Genomic DNA, 15,362 nt, shown 5'->3' with positions numbered 1-15,362 from the left:
GGATAATTATCGCAAAATAATTATATAATCCTCCTTTTTTCTTTAAAAATCTTCCTTTATCTCCCTGAACACACAGTTTACTATGGCACATGTATTCCCATTGCAATGCCCATTCCCAAATAAATGTCATTTTGCTTTAGAGAGTTTCCCTCTGTTTGTTATCTAGGTTGACATACTCTATTAAAATGACACAAATTAAAAAAATAAGAGTGCTGAGATGAATAGGTGTTTTGGCTCTTCACTGAGGGAAAGAAAGACCTGTAAGCAGCCGAGTCCAATTGAGAGGTTAAGTGCAGACATGGAGGTGTGTGTAAAATTCTGTGTGAGAAAACAGGTCAGAGCACCTAATTCTGTTTGTGAGTTACAGGGGAGTATGAACATTTGGAGGAGGCTTTACGAGGTCAAGAAGGTCATTTCAAGTTGTGGAAACACAGCCCATTGGTTGGCTTGAAGGTATGAATATGTGTGTCATTATTGCAGGATTGTGAAAAATTAGTGACTGGGACATCAGCTCTGTATGGGGAGGTGAGAAAGATGGGGAAGGGAGGCAAACAGGTTTTCTTTTTTCTTTCTTTTTTTTTTCTTTCTTTTTTTTTTCTTGAGATGGAGTCTCTCTCTGTCGCCCAGACTGGAGTGCAGTGGTGCCATCTCGGCTCGCTGCACCCTCCACCTCCTGGGTCCGAGCGATTTTCCTGCCTCAGCCTCCTGAGAAGCTGGGACTATAGGTGCCTGCCACCACGTCCGGCTAGTTTTTGTATTTTTAGTAGAGACAGGGTTTCACCATGTTGGCCAGGCTGGTCTTGAACTCTTGACGTCGTGATCTGCCCGCCTCAGCCTCCCAAAGTGTTGGGATTACAGGCGTGAGCCACCGCGCCCAGCCGCAAACATGTTTTATAACAAAGATATGCAGCAAATTTCTTCCTGTTATATTTTAACAGTAACAAAATGCAATTATTTTAACAATAAAAGTGGGAAAGAAAATAATGCAGCATAGTTTTCATGACCACCCTGTTTAGATAAAAGTTCACCTTTTCAAATATTCCAAATCATAACAATTCCACTGGGTCATGGTCCATTCCTGGCCACTGAGCTCCTCATGAAAGTAGAAGTCTAGAAAGTGGAGATATTTCTTCTATAATTACAAATGGCAAGACTGATGTTAACTTATTGTGGCTTAAGAGATGTCTCTGACAGGTTGGGGTGAGACCTTTGAATTTAAAAAAAAATTTATACAAATTAATGGGGTACATGTGAAATTGTGTTACATGTATATAATGCGTAGTGATCAACTCAGGGTATTTAGGGTGTCCATCACCCGAGTATAAAACATTTTTCTTAACTATAGTCACCCTACTCTGCTCTCAGACATTGAATGTATCCCTTCTATCTAACTGTATGTTTGTACCCTTCAACCCACTTGTCTCCAGCCTCTCCCCTCCCGCAGACTTGAATATTTTGTTGATCTTGCAAGGGAAGAAATTCAAAAACACTTCAAGAGAAAATAGAGAGGACAGAGGTTAAAGCTGTAGAAGTCTTTGTTTCTTTACTCTTATCGACCAAATGACTTCTAGGCATAAGTGTGTGCTTGTGCTCACACACAGTGAATTATTTGTAGTTATTTACAAGATCACTCTATTTCATAATTGTAAGCTTTCAAATGGACGTTAATGATGAAATTCAAATGCCAAAGGAACAATGCATGTCATAATTCACAGGGCTTGCAGGCCATTCCAGCCTTTATAATTGCTACCCAATTAATGGTGACGCTTAAGCATACTGGAAACAATAGCAGAAAAGAGATTTACTTTTTTTTTGTCGAGGGGTGGGTTAGAGTTTGGGTCTCACTCTGTTACCCAGGCTGGAATGTAGTGGTGCAATCATAGCTCACTGTTGCCTTGATAACTTACTGCTTGGCTCAAGCAGTCCAAGCTGGGACTATAGGCATGTGCCCCTGCACCCAGCTCCAGGAGATTTACTTTGAAAATACTCTTTGAAATAATGCTAAGGCAGCTGAAAGCTCCCTGGGTGGAAAAAGCAGAGTAGGTCCTGGAACTACCAGGACACTTCCTCAGAGAATTTGAGAGATTGGGTGCTTTGATCTCAGGTTTGGCTCTCTGAGCCTCTCCCAGAGGGTGTGTTCTATCCTGCCCTGATCCAGGCCCTGATCCATTCAGAAAGTTCCCCAGAGAAAGCAGTTTCAGAAATAAGAGAGAGACAGTAACAATTCAAGCTTTCTTCTTCGGTGGTTACAAAGAGGAGGAGAACACAATAACCAGCACAGGATGGCTTAATTTTAAACGTTAAAAAGGAGAGAGTGAAAAGCAAATATGAAAACGTATTTCAAATTCCAAGGAGAAAAAAAAAGAGCAGCAACTCCCCACTTCGACTCCTGTGTGTGTTCATGGTGTCTACCCTGCCCAAGGAATCACAGGGCTGTTCATTATTTTGGAAAAAGGAATTTGTTATTGACATATCGATGTGTGCCCTTAACCATTTGGTGGGTTTTATTTTTCAATGCCCCTCTTTCATGTTCTGGAGTTTTTCCGGGACAAGGCCTCTCCATCCTACGGGATTACACATGGTCAGATTCATTTTACATTGGATGACAAATTGCATTTGAATTCATCGGGTTGAAAGGTCAGGGCTGTTCTCTGTTACCCAGTCAGGCTCCCTCAAAGTGTCTCAGTCATGAGAATATGTTGGAATCCCTGGGTACTCCATGCCGCTGCCCGCCCAAACCCTCATGAATACTGAACTCTGCGCCGACTTGGATTCCTAATTGGTGACTCCATCAAAAGGAGGAACCACAGCCAAGGACAGACAAAGTAAACGGCGTGGGGTCGTGTCATTCCTCTCCCACAGTCTGTACTCAGTGGTAACCCAGAATTTTTAAAAAGATCTATTTCCTGAACCCTAAATAGGAGATATTTTCTCCAGGATACTACTTCGTGACAATAAGTGCCTTACCAAAGATATGCCCAGAATTATTGGGAGGGGAATAAAAACGTAGTTCTGTACTATGGTTGTAAAAAGGTTGAAGAATGTTTCTAACCCAAGTAGCCCACAGGCCCAACAGCTTTTATCTGGTAGAGAAGGTTTTGTTCTGCTAAGTTTACATTAATTTGATTAAAAGTGACTGACCCCAAGATGCTTGGTTCTCCTATGAGCACCTTGTTTTGGTCTCTGGGTGGGCTAGGTATAAATGTCATGCTACACACACACGAACGCACATAAGGAGAAAAACCACATCCACTCGGATTCTGCTGGTTTTAAATCTTGTGCCATTCACACTAGTACTGGCTAGAATTTAGTTTTGTACTATCTCTAATCAAATGAGTTTTCATAAAATTTTAATAGTGAAAGGAAATTGTAAATAAAACACTCAGGAAATTTTTTTCAAGTACTTTTGAGCTCTAGCTAACATAGAAACAACATGCAAATTTCAGTCATTTTTTTACCTAAATCATTTAAGACGATTCTTTCAAGTCTTTTGCTAGGCTATATTAATACCAGTTTATTCAGCTAAATAATTACTTACCTCCTCCTTTCTCCAGGTTTCCAGAAACATCTATTGATAATTATGTTAAAAATGATGATATTGGTCATCATGTATACTTGTTATTAAATGTATATAAAAGTAACAAATACATAATAAAAATTTCACAATTCAGACTTTTCCCTTCATTAAGTATTTAATAACAGCTATCTTCTATTAAACCTTTTTTTAGTAGGATGCTAAATGCTTTATATCCATCTTATTTAACCTTTCACCAGCCCTGGGAGGAAAATGTAAATATGATATTGATATTGCAGATGGGATGCAGAGAGGTTAAGTAACTTGCCCCAGCTCACATAGCGTGAGTGGCAGAACTGGGATTCAAATTCAAATCTTCCTGATTCCAAAGCCAGGGCTTTTAACCACTGTGATGTACTGCTTTCATAGTGTGGTAAACTGGCCCCGCATGTGTCTGAATGAGTGAGATTCTTCCTGTCCATTTCTCTGCCCATAGCACCTGGCCTCCTGCAGTCATCAGCAAACACTTGTCCTGCCCTTGTAAATAGTTTTGGACGAATGAAGGATATGGTTAAAGACCAAACGAAAGGTAATATCCACAACAGGAAAGACTTGCTAACAAATTCATGAGTAGATTTTAATTTAGCTGATATAGTGAAAGTATTTTTGCGTGAAACAAAATCCCAGATCCTGCTTGCTTTTGTTGCAATGTGAAAATATTGATGGAAAGATTTAGCAGCTGTTATTCATACTTCTGAAGAAGGCAGAAGACTTTCATTATAATGATGATTCATGTCAAAAATAGAAGTGCAAATAATATATTTTTTTAAATTTACACTTTAGTTCTTTCTAAAAAAGTTTCAGATGACAGATCTAATAAATGATTTTTAATTGATTTTAGTTCGTTCTTTAGTCTTTAGATACATTGCATCTGTGTACAATGATGTAGAAATTCAGTTCTATTCTACACACAGGCACTGATAGCCTTTATGTGCCATTCTCTGAGCTGGCTGTTCCAGACACTTTTCTTCAGGGACACACAGGGTAGAAAGGTAGGCAAGCGGACATGCGCTGAGTCTGGAATTGAAGTTTTGGCCGGGCATAGTGGCTCATGCCTGTAATGCCAGCATTTTGGGAGGCCAAGGCCCGCAGATCCCTTGACCCCAGGAGTTTTAGACCAGCCTGGGCAACATGGCAAAACTCCGTCTCTTAAAAAAAAAAAAAAAAATTAGCCAGGTGCGGTGGCCCACGCCTGTAGTGCCTGCAGGGGCTGAGGTGGGAGGATTACTTGAGCCCAGGAAGTCAAGGCTGCAGTGAGCTGTGATTGCACACTGCACTCTAGCCTGGGTGACAGAGAGAGACCTTGTCTCAAAAAAATAAAAGCAAAACAACAACAAAAAAGAAGTTTTAAAATGATGGTTATGACCCATATAAGCACTATCACACCAGTATTTGGCACTAACAATAAGAGTAACAATAAAATTCTGAAGCACTTCCACAGAGAGGCAGTGGCACAGTTCAAACACCAAGAGTGGACTTGAAGTTTAGTCAGAGTATCTTCAGCTTACACCTTTGGATTTAACTAAATTGGAAATTACATTTTCTCCACATCTTAATCGACTAATTTTATCTTTCTTGCAAAGGGGCAGGTTAATTTTACCTGGGTAAAAATTTGTCAAATAAACCAGCATTTTTTTCTAAGCTGTGTAGTCTATGGCATTTTGTTGTAGCAGCTGAACGTGCTAAGACATCAGATCCACAATTGTGTAAGTCACTTCCTTGGTTCTGCTTCTGTGAGCAACTCTCACTGATACAGCCCATTTTGAACCTGTTCATAAGCTTGGCTATTATAAAGATTCTGATTAATGAATGGCTTTCTACTTTCCTTTCTATTACTTCTTTCAAGTACAGGGAGGATTAACTCTGTTCTCTGGGATTCAGGGATTTTGGGGGCAAAGCCTTTAGTCAATGGAGCTTCTAGGAAAATTGCTCTACTCTTGAGTCTCAAATTCTTTTTTTTACCATGAGCGTGCATCAAGTTACAACTGAGGGAAATAAAACATATTTTAAAAAAATTTTAACTGATATTTGATAAATAAATGTGTATATTTATTTACACATTTATTTATAAAAATAATGTATATTTTATATATAATATATATTTTATTGTATTATTTATTCATATATAAAAGATTATTTTAATATATTTTAATACATGTATATTAAATAATATATAAAATATATATTGTTTTTATTTATATATAAAAATATATTTTTTATTATATTAAAAATATAATAAAGACAGAGAGAGAGGCTGGTGATTACCTCCAAGATTGTTTCTAGCATTACATGTGTGCACAGGTTTGGCCATGACTTTATCAGAAGAAAACTCTGTGTTTTCTATTTGATTTCCTCTTGTTCACCTCAGTTTGGTTCAATGCCATCTGTGAAGCATCTGTTATAAGTCATGTACTGATGGGGGTCCAAAATTTTATACAGATCCCAAAAATATAAGTCTATAAAATTAGAAGGAATTTCACCCAATCTCTTGCTTGATCCTTTTGTTTTGTATATCAGGAAACTAGTTCAGTGGGTGATTTTCTCAAGTTTGTGCAGCCTGTTAATTATAGAACTGAGTCTAATATCCAAGTTGTCTGATTACTAATGCTGTTTTCTTTTTGCTGTGCTAGACTATCTCTGATTTGTTGTTAATTGTAAAAAGCAGTCTTTTAGGCGTTACCAACTTCACCAGATATAACAAGGCCTTCTTTTTTGGACCACCTCCCCTTATGTACTAGCTAAGAGCTCACAAATGCTTATTAGAAAGGAATTTGACTTGCTGTTTTTCTCATTATTTTGATTGGTACATATGTCAAGAAGTGAAACTCAAGTTCAGATGAGTCATATTCATATTTCATAACAGGGCAGCAGCAAATTGGTAGCCAATATTATTGGAGAATTAGGATTAAATTTAACCGTGATGAATCAAAGACCAAAGGAAAAGTAATGGTTTCTCAGTATCACTGGACACGTCCGTTGATTTGAGTTATCTTTGAATTCACAGGAGACACAGGAACAAAGTTTCCTAGACATCACCCTGGTAAGGACTTTGGTGGTCTGGCGACCAGCCTGTGAGCTGGGTTCTCAGAAGCACATCTTGAATTTCCTCTGCAGTATCCCCTGCTCTCCAGCCTCTTGTCTCTATGCCTCTTGCAAACTTTCAGCCTGGAATCACTCCCACCCTAACCCATCTACCTCCAGGTGGTAGTGAACTCTTGGAAAAGCCCACACAGCTATGTCAAATGGGGTGGCCACAAATTCACACTTCTAGGCTCAGCTGGGCCCTCAGTGCTGCCATTCAGTTTTTTGTTTTTTGTTTTTGAGACGGAGTTTCACTCTTGTTGCCCAGGCTGGGGTGCAGTGGTGTGACCTCGGCTCTCTGCAACCTCCGCCTCCCGGGTTCAAGTGATTCACCTGCCTCAGCCTCCCAAGTAGCTGGGATTACAGGTGCCCACCACCACGCTTGGTTAATTTTTTGTATTTTTAGTAGAGACAGGGTCTCACCCATGTTGGCCAGGCTGGTCTTGAACTCCTCAGGTGATCCACCCTCCTTGGCCTCCCAAAGTGCAGGGATTACAGGCGTGAGCCACCGCACCTGGCCCCATTCAGTTTTTTGTTTTCTCTTTGTTAAGCTCTCTCTTTGGTCTTATCAGTTCTTTTTTCATTACTGACTCAGTTCTCTTAGCAGATGCCCTCACCTTCTACTTCACCTAAACAATTTGTCAAATCCCCTCTGCCATCCTCTCCTGGTTTCTGTGAGTCTGCACTGATCTCTGGTCTGAAGAGGCTGGGGAGCCTTTCTTGCTACCAACACTCCTACCAAGCTTTCCACCTCTTTTCCTGCCATCCCCTGGGACCCTACTTCATCAGTAATCGCGTCTCTCATAATCTCTGATCTTTCTCTGCTGGCTCATTCTCCTCAGATTATGAACATGATGAAGACCCGCCTATCCTAAACAAATCAACAAAAAACAAGCCAAAACTTCTCTTGGTTCCCTGTCCTTCTTTAGCTACTAGCCAATCTCTCTTCTCCTTTGGGAAGTTTTTCTGAACAATGATCCCCATTTCCTCTGTCAACTTCCTCGACTCCTGTTCACGCCTCAACCTCCCTGGGTCTAGTTTCTGTTTACTGCCTCCACTCTCATTCATTTGTTTGTTTATTTGTTCATCCATCCATTGCATTCAACAAGTATTTATTGATCAGATGCTAGGTGCCAGGCATTGTTCTAGGTGCTGGAAAATAGCAAAAAAAACTCCATTGCAACTTCTCTTGCAAAGTCACATATTCCAAAAAATATTATTCTTTTAAGACATTGATTATAAAACAAATACAAGATACACGAAGTAACTTCATGGTATTGGTCAAGGCTCCACTTTGACCTCATTATTCCCCAATCTGTTACCTACAAAGATCCCCAGTGTGGCAGGTTGCAACTGCCTCTGCCAGGCCAGAACCCATATCCATCCCCCTGCTCCCTGCCTGCCCCCTGTGGAGTTCCTAGAAATGTCAACCTTAAAAGCACATCAATTTAAACACCAAGATGTCTTCAGTGTTTGCCCTGGAGCTCCAGAAGCTTTTGGTGAAGGGAGGTGAGGGTGGGGGGCTAGTGGGAAAGAATCAGAGGAAAGGAGAGGGAAGAGAAGCCCCAGGAGAGAAAGAGCTAAAGATTATGGACCATTCCACTAAAAGCCAAGGCCCTGATCAAAAGATAATAATAACAGTAGAAGTAGTAATAATAATAAATAAATGAAATTAATATTTTATTATTAAATTCATTGCAAAATTTGGAAAACACACAAAAGCAAAAGCACAAGAGGATAATAAAAATCACAAAGTGTACTTCCCAAAGGAAGCTATTCTTTTGGTATGTTTCCTACCAATAGGTATTTCTCTGTACATGTGGTGTACATCCCATGCAAAGTTGATATCCCACTGTAAAAGCTGATTTGCATATATCATTTTTCACTTAATATTCTATTATGAGATTTTTTCCTCAACTCATTAAATGTTCTTGAAAAGCATGAAGCTGGAGAAACATGCAAAGAATAGATTCTAAGAGACTGCAGCAAGGGGTTTAGATTTTTCCTGAAAACAGTGGGAATTCCCTGGAGAGATTTTCTTCACCCCCTACTTTTTTTTTTCTTTTTTTTTGAGAGGTTTTCTAAGTCAGGCTAATTGAGGAATAATTCACGTGCAGTACAGTAAAAGTCACCCTTTTGAGGTGTGTGGTCTGATGAGTTTAACAAATGGATGCATGTAATATTATCACAACCAAGACATACGATATTTCAATCACCACAAAAAGTCCTTTTGTGATCTTTATGTAGTCCATCCCCTTTTCTCAATCTAACCCCAGCAACCTAATCTGATGTCTTCGTTTTGCCTTTTCCAGAAAGTCATATAAATGAAATCATACAGAATGTTACCTTTTATGTCTGACTTCTTGCACTTAGCATAATGCTTTCTATCCACATTGTCGCATGTTTGTTCCTTTTGGTTGCTGAGTGGTATTCCATTTGATAGTATGGCACAATTTGTTTATTCATTCACCAGTTAATGACATTTGAATTGTTTTCAGTTGTTGATTTGTAGTTTTTTCTTTAAGGCCTTTGTCTAGGTTGGTATTAGGGTAATGCTGACTTCATCAAACAGTTTGGGAAATATTCCTTCCACTTCCATTTTCTGCAAGAGTTTGTACACAGTTGCAATGATTTCTTCTTTCAATATTTGCCAGAATTTACCAGTGGCACATCTGGATCTGGACTTTCCGTTGTAAGCAAAATTTTAATGGCAAGTTCCAATTCTTTTATACATATAGGACTATTCCAGTCATCTGCTCTTCTTGAGTGAGCTTTGTAGTTTGTATCTTTCAAGAACTGAATCTATTTATCTTTTATCAGACTTTTTGCTATTAATTTTATAATCTTTTAATCTTTTAATGTCTGTAAGATCTATAGTGATTCCCCTCCTTTCATTCCTGAAATTGGTAGTTTGTGTCTTCTCTCTCTTTTTTTCTCGATTACATTAGTTCAAGGTTTATACATTTTGTCCATCATCTCAAAAAGCCAGTTGCTATTTCATGATTATCTCTATTTGTTTTCAGTTTACCTGATTTATGCTCTTATCCCTATTATTTTCTTCCCTCTGCTTGCTTGGGTTTGATTTACTTTTCTTTCTCTCATTTCCTAAGGTTGAAGCTTAGACTGTTGATTTGAGACCATTCTATGTTTTAACATAAGCATTTAATGTTATATATTTCCCTCTAGGAACTGCTGTAGCTATATCCCTCCAATTTTGGTATGTTATTTGTTTTCATCTTCTTAAAAATATTTTATAATATATCTTGCGAGTTCCTTTTTAACCAAGAATTATTTAGAAGGGTGCTGTTTAAAATATTTAGATACTTTTCTAGATACTCTCTTATTATTGATTTCTAATTTTAATTGGCTGTGGTCAGAGAACAGAGTTTTATATGATTTTAATTTTTAATTTTTTTTTTATTTTGAGATGGAGTCTCACTCTGCTGCCCAGGAGTGCAGTGGCACAATCCCAGCTAGCTGCAACCTCCATCTCCTGGGTTTAAACGATTTTCCTGTCTCAGCCTCCTCAGTAGCTGGGATTACAGGCATGAGCCACTATGCCTGGCAATTTTTGCATTTTGAGTAGACATGGGGTTTCACCTCTTAGCCAGGCTGGTCTCGAACTCCTAAGCTCAGGTGATCTGCCTGCCTTGGTCTCCCAAAGTGCTGGGATTACAGGGGTGAGCCACGACTCCCAACCAATTGTAATTTTTAAAAAAATTATTGAGGCATGTTTTATGACCTAGAATGTGGTCTATTTTGATGAGATTTCATAAGCATGTCAAGTGAGTGTGTGTTCAGCTATTGTTGGTTAGAGTGTTCTGTAAATGTCAATTAAGCCATTTGTTTAATAGCACTGTTTGCTATCGTCATACTGATTTTCCATCTACTTTATTGAGAGAGGCCGACATATATGAAGAAGAGATGCTCAATATCAACATCACTAATCATCAGGAAAATAGAAATCAAAACCACAATGAGAGCATCTCACACCTGTTAAGATGGCTATTATCAGAAAGACAAGAGATAACAAGTGTTGGAAAGAATGTGGAGGAAGGGGAACCTTGCAGACCGTTGGTGGAAGTTCAGATTGGTACAGCCATCATGAAAACATTACAAATAGAACTACAAATAGAACTACCGTATGATCCAGCAATCCCGCTACCAGGTATACATGTAAAGGGAAAGAAATCAGTACCTGGCTGAGATAGCCACACTTTCATGTTCATTGCAGCATTATTCACAATAGCCAAGATACGGAAACAACCTAAATATCCATCAGCAGACGACTGGCTAAAGAAATTGTGACACACACACACACACACACACACACACCCCAGTGGAATAGCATTCAGCCTTAAAAAAGAAGGAGATCAGCTGGGCACAGTGGCTTATGCCTATAATCCCAGCACTTTGGGAGGCCGAGGCAGGTGGATCACCTGAGGTCAGGGGTTCAAGACCAGCCTGGCCAACATGGTGAAACCCCGTCTCTACTAAAAATACAAAAATTAGCTGGTTGTTGTGGTGTGCTCCTGTAAGCCCAGCTACTGAGGAGGCTGAGGCAGGAGAATCACTTGAACCCAGGGAACAGAGGTTGCAGTGAATCAAGATCATGCCATTGCACTCTAGCCTGTGTGAAAGAGTGAAACTCTGTTTCAAAAAAAAAAAAAAAAGGAGATCTTGCCATTTGTGACAACATGGATGAACCTGAAGGAAATTGCACAAAGTGAAATAAGCCAGACACAGAAAAGAAAATACTGCATGATCTTACTTGTATGCAGAATCTAAAAAAAACCAAGTCAAATCAAATACACAGAAATAGAATAGAATAATAGTTACTGGGGCCAGGGAAGGGAGGAAATGGGGAGATGTAGGTCAAAGGGTACAAAATTGCAGTCCAGTAGGATGAATAAGTCTAGTGATCTAATGCAGTGGTCCCCAACATGTTTGGCACCAGGGGCCAGTTTTGTGGAAGACAATTTTTCCATGGACTGGAGAGGGGGATGGTGGTGGTGGTGTGGTGGTGGGCAGGGGGAGAGGTGGTTTCGGGATGAAACAGTTCCACCTCAGATCATCAGGCATTAGATTCTCATAAGGAGTGTGCAACCTAGGTCCCTTGCATGCACAATAGGGTTTGCATCCCTATGAGAATCTAATGCCACCACTGATCTGACAGGAGGTGGAGCTCAGTTGGTAATCTGAGTGATGGGGAGCAGCTGTAAATATAGATGAAGCTTCACTTGCTCACCCACTGCTCACCTTTTGCTGTGTGGTCTGGTTCCTAACAGGCCATGGACTGGTGCTGGTCCATGGCCTGGCGATTGAGGACTCCTAATCTAATGGACAGCATGAGAATTACAGTTAACAAGATTGTATTGTATGCTGGAAGTTTGCTGAGAATAGATTTTAGGTGTTCTTACCACACACACAAGTAAATGTGTGAAATGATGGATGTATTAATATGCTGGACTGTAGACCATTTCAGTATGTATGAATATATCAAAATATGTTGTATACCTTGAATACATAGTACAATAAAAATATATAAAAATTATTGAGAGAAGAGTGTTAAAATCTCCAATTATAATTGTATATTTGTCTATTTCTTTTTTGTTCAGTTATGCTTCATGTATTCTGAAGCTCTGTTAAGTACACGTACATGTAGGATTATTATGTCATTCTGATGAAGTGACCACTTTGTCATTACACATTACATAATGTCTCTGTTTATCCATGGCAATATTCCTTTTTTCTGACATCTAGTTTGGCATTAACCATTTCAGTTTCATTTTATTAGTAATTTCATAATTACTGATTATTTCATAGTGTATCTTTTTTCCATTCTTTTATTTATTTATTTATTTATTTATTTGAGACAAAGTCTTCCTCTTGTCCCCAGGCTGCAGTGCAATGGTGCAACCTTGGCTCACTGCAACCTCTGCCTCCTGGGTTCAAGCGATTCTCTTGCCTCAGCCTTCCGAGTAGCTGGGATTACAGGCATCTGCCCCCATGCCCAGCTAATTTTTGTATTTTTAGTAGAGACAGGGTTTCACCATGTTGGCCAGGCTGGTCTCGAACTCCTGACCTCAGGTGATCTGCCTGCCTCAGCCTCCCAAAGTGCTGAGATTACAAGCGTGAGTCACTGCACCTGGCCTATCATTCTTTTACTTTTGACCCATCTGTGTTTCTATTTTTAAGGTGGGTTTCTTACAAACAGCATATACGTGGGTCTTGCATTTTTAATCCAATCTGACAGTCCTGGCCTTTTAATTTGGCTTCAGCCACACCTGTAGCACTCAGATAATCTCTCTTTCTGGCCCCTTGCCCCTTCCCTAGTCTTTCTCATGAGCACCTGGTAGAAGCCAGTGGAAAGAGCTTGCAAGTGGGTACAAACTCCCCCTGTGTCTGGTGATCCTACCTATTCCAAACTGATGTTCTAACCCACACTAGCTTTTAAGAATATGTTAAAATTTTAGATAATTTCTGTCTCCCCATGTGTATGGTAGCCACCTCTTCCTTTCTTGCTCTGTCAAAGGTGAAACAATATTTGAGTCTCATCTGTCCTCACAGGGTTTGTCACTCTTTGGTATTCAGTTTACCTTCCAGGGAGAGTGGAATTCAGTATCTCTTATGACCTCAGCTATTTGATGGGTTCGAAGAAAAGTGATGGTTTTGTAGAGACCAGCCATTTTCCCATTTTTCAGGGAGCTATGCTCTCTTACGCATTCTAAGTGGAAGCAGGATGATGCACTGAAAAGAGGGGAAGGAGATAAAGGGAGGAATTCAGGATGGCTGCTAGGCTTAGTTTGAGCAGTGGAATAAATGTTGACGCCACTTACTAATAGTAAAATGGATCTGGGGGGAAAGTCGAGAGGTCCGTGTTGCACATGTGAAGCCGTAGATCATGTGGATGTGTCCAGTTGGCTGTTGGATACTCAGAGGAGAGCTCTGGTGTGACAATTTCCCTGTGAGAGTTGACAATACAGAGATGATATTTACAGCCTTGGGACTGGATGGGACTACCTAGGGACAGAATGTAGACAGAAGAGGCTGCCTATAACTGAGCCCAGGGACAGTCCAGCACTTGACACAGGATGGAGGAAGCGGAAGGAGCATAAAGGAGAAAGAGAAGCAGTGGCCAAGGACACAGAGGAAAGACATTAGTAATCCCCTGAGGGAAGATTTTCATCTAGATTTGGTAGGAATCCATAAGCCACAAAACATTGTGTTTCATTCAAGACAAACTTGAGATCATAAAAATCTATTGACTCTTTTGAGACTTCCTATCGCTTATGGAATCTTGGGCCCAGGACCTTTCATTGATGCCAAGCAGAGGTCTGCTCCTGCTGAGGCATGGGCTAGAACCTCTCTCTTCCCAAGACCAACTGCAGTGAAAGTTAAATGGGCTCTTGAAAAAAATCCTGCTCCAAATCCCTGAGGATCAGAATGAGCCCTTCATTTGGAGCTCAATAAGATTTCTGGTAGTTGCATGCAGATATGTCTTTTTTGCCACTTTACTAGGCTTTACAGATATGTGCATTTGTCAGAAGATTGATGCTGCCCTTCAAATATTTGTCTCTTCTTCTCCCTCTGGGGCAAGTGCCCCATGGTCTGATGGGTGCTGGCCACATCACACAGATTCCTTCTTTGGTCTTTGCATGTGTTATTGTGAAATCTCCTGGTTATTCAGAGGAGACACGCTCTGTTGAATAAGAGAAATGTGGTCAAAGGAACATACTAATGAGGCTGATTAGATGGTTTTATTGGTGGTGACCTTTCTATTTCATGGTGGGAATGTGTTGGTTTTTGTTTTAAAAATAAATCATGCATCTCACATTTCTTTCATTTGGCATCTGCATCACCTATAGACCTATACTATATAACAGGGTTTAGAAAGAAAATAACGTTAGTGTGTTTAGATTTTTTTCAGGCAGTTAAAAACAATATTATGCTTCCCTTAAACATTCTGATTGACAGAATGATAAGACAAGCTGTATGAAGGAGGGCGAGTGTTTGAATGACAGCACCAAACACTGTCAATGCTACTTGTGTTTCCTAGTGTCTCTAAGAGGCCACCAGTTTGAACATATACCTAACACACTGATCCAAGGATCTGAGGCCATTAGCTTAAAGGGCAGTGCCCAGTTCCTAAATTAGCCTTTTTTTCCTTGCCTAAGACACATAAATTTGAAACCCCTCTTGATCTTTATCCATCTCCTTCGCACCAAGAAGTTAGATTCAGATCATTATTTTTAGTTAGTTCAGGCATTTCTGTGACTGTGTGCCATCTTAAGGATCTTAGTTCTTTCTACCAACCACGGGGAATGGACTACCATGACAGTGCTGTCATGGGTGGCCCCCACGCCAGCAGTGTCCTAAGATGGCCCTTCCTCTCCTTCCCCCGTCCTTCCCTCACTGCCCAGCGGGGAGAGCACTCCTGGCCCAGTGGTGATGCAGCATTGGTCTTGGGGCACCTGGGGCCACACTGGGAGGCATTTTCCATGTTTGTCTTTCTACAGAAACCAGTTGCATCAACTCATTCTCTTTGCACATTGCCTCTCTTAGGGTTTTATTTTGTTTGTTTTGGTTTATTTGGTGGTATGGAGGTTTCCTTAATCTCAGAGGAGTGTATGAATAATTAGAAGCAAGCTGTGATCACCAGCGAAGTTTACCATCTGGGTCTGCTTCTGAGTAAGTTAACTGAACA

General features: G+C 40.1%; 1 long non-coding RNA gene across 1 annotated transcript in view; it reads left to right on the top strand.

The window, feature by feature from the left end:
- Window positions 1–381: 381 nt before the first annotated feature.
- The window catches only part of LOC107986891 (uncharacterized), a 45,183-nt gene continuing 30,202 nt past the window's right edge, over window positions 382–15,362 (top strand). Inside the window, exons 1-2 of the long non-coding RNA XR_001745719.1 lie at window positions 382–453; window positions 4,011–4,103. This is a non-coding gene — a long non-coding RNA (uncharacterized LOC107986891). The remainder of the gene's footprint in view (window positions 454–4,010; window positions 4,104–15,362) is intronic.

Source organism: Homo sapiens, chromosome 8 (assembly GCF_000001405.40).
Source record: "Homo sapiens chromosome 8, GRCh38.p14 Primary Assembly".
In the NCBI taxonomy this organism is placed as follows: Eukaryota; Metazoa; Chordata; class Mammalia; order Primates; family Hominidae; genus Homo; species Homo sapiens.
The sequence above is the reverse complement of the archived record's forward strand: the minus strand, read 5'-3'. Positions and strand labels throughout refer to the sequence as shown.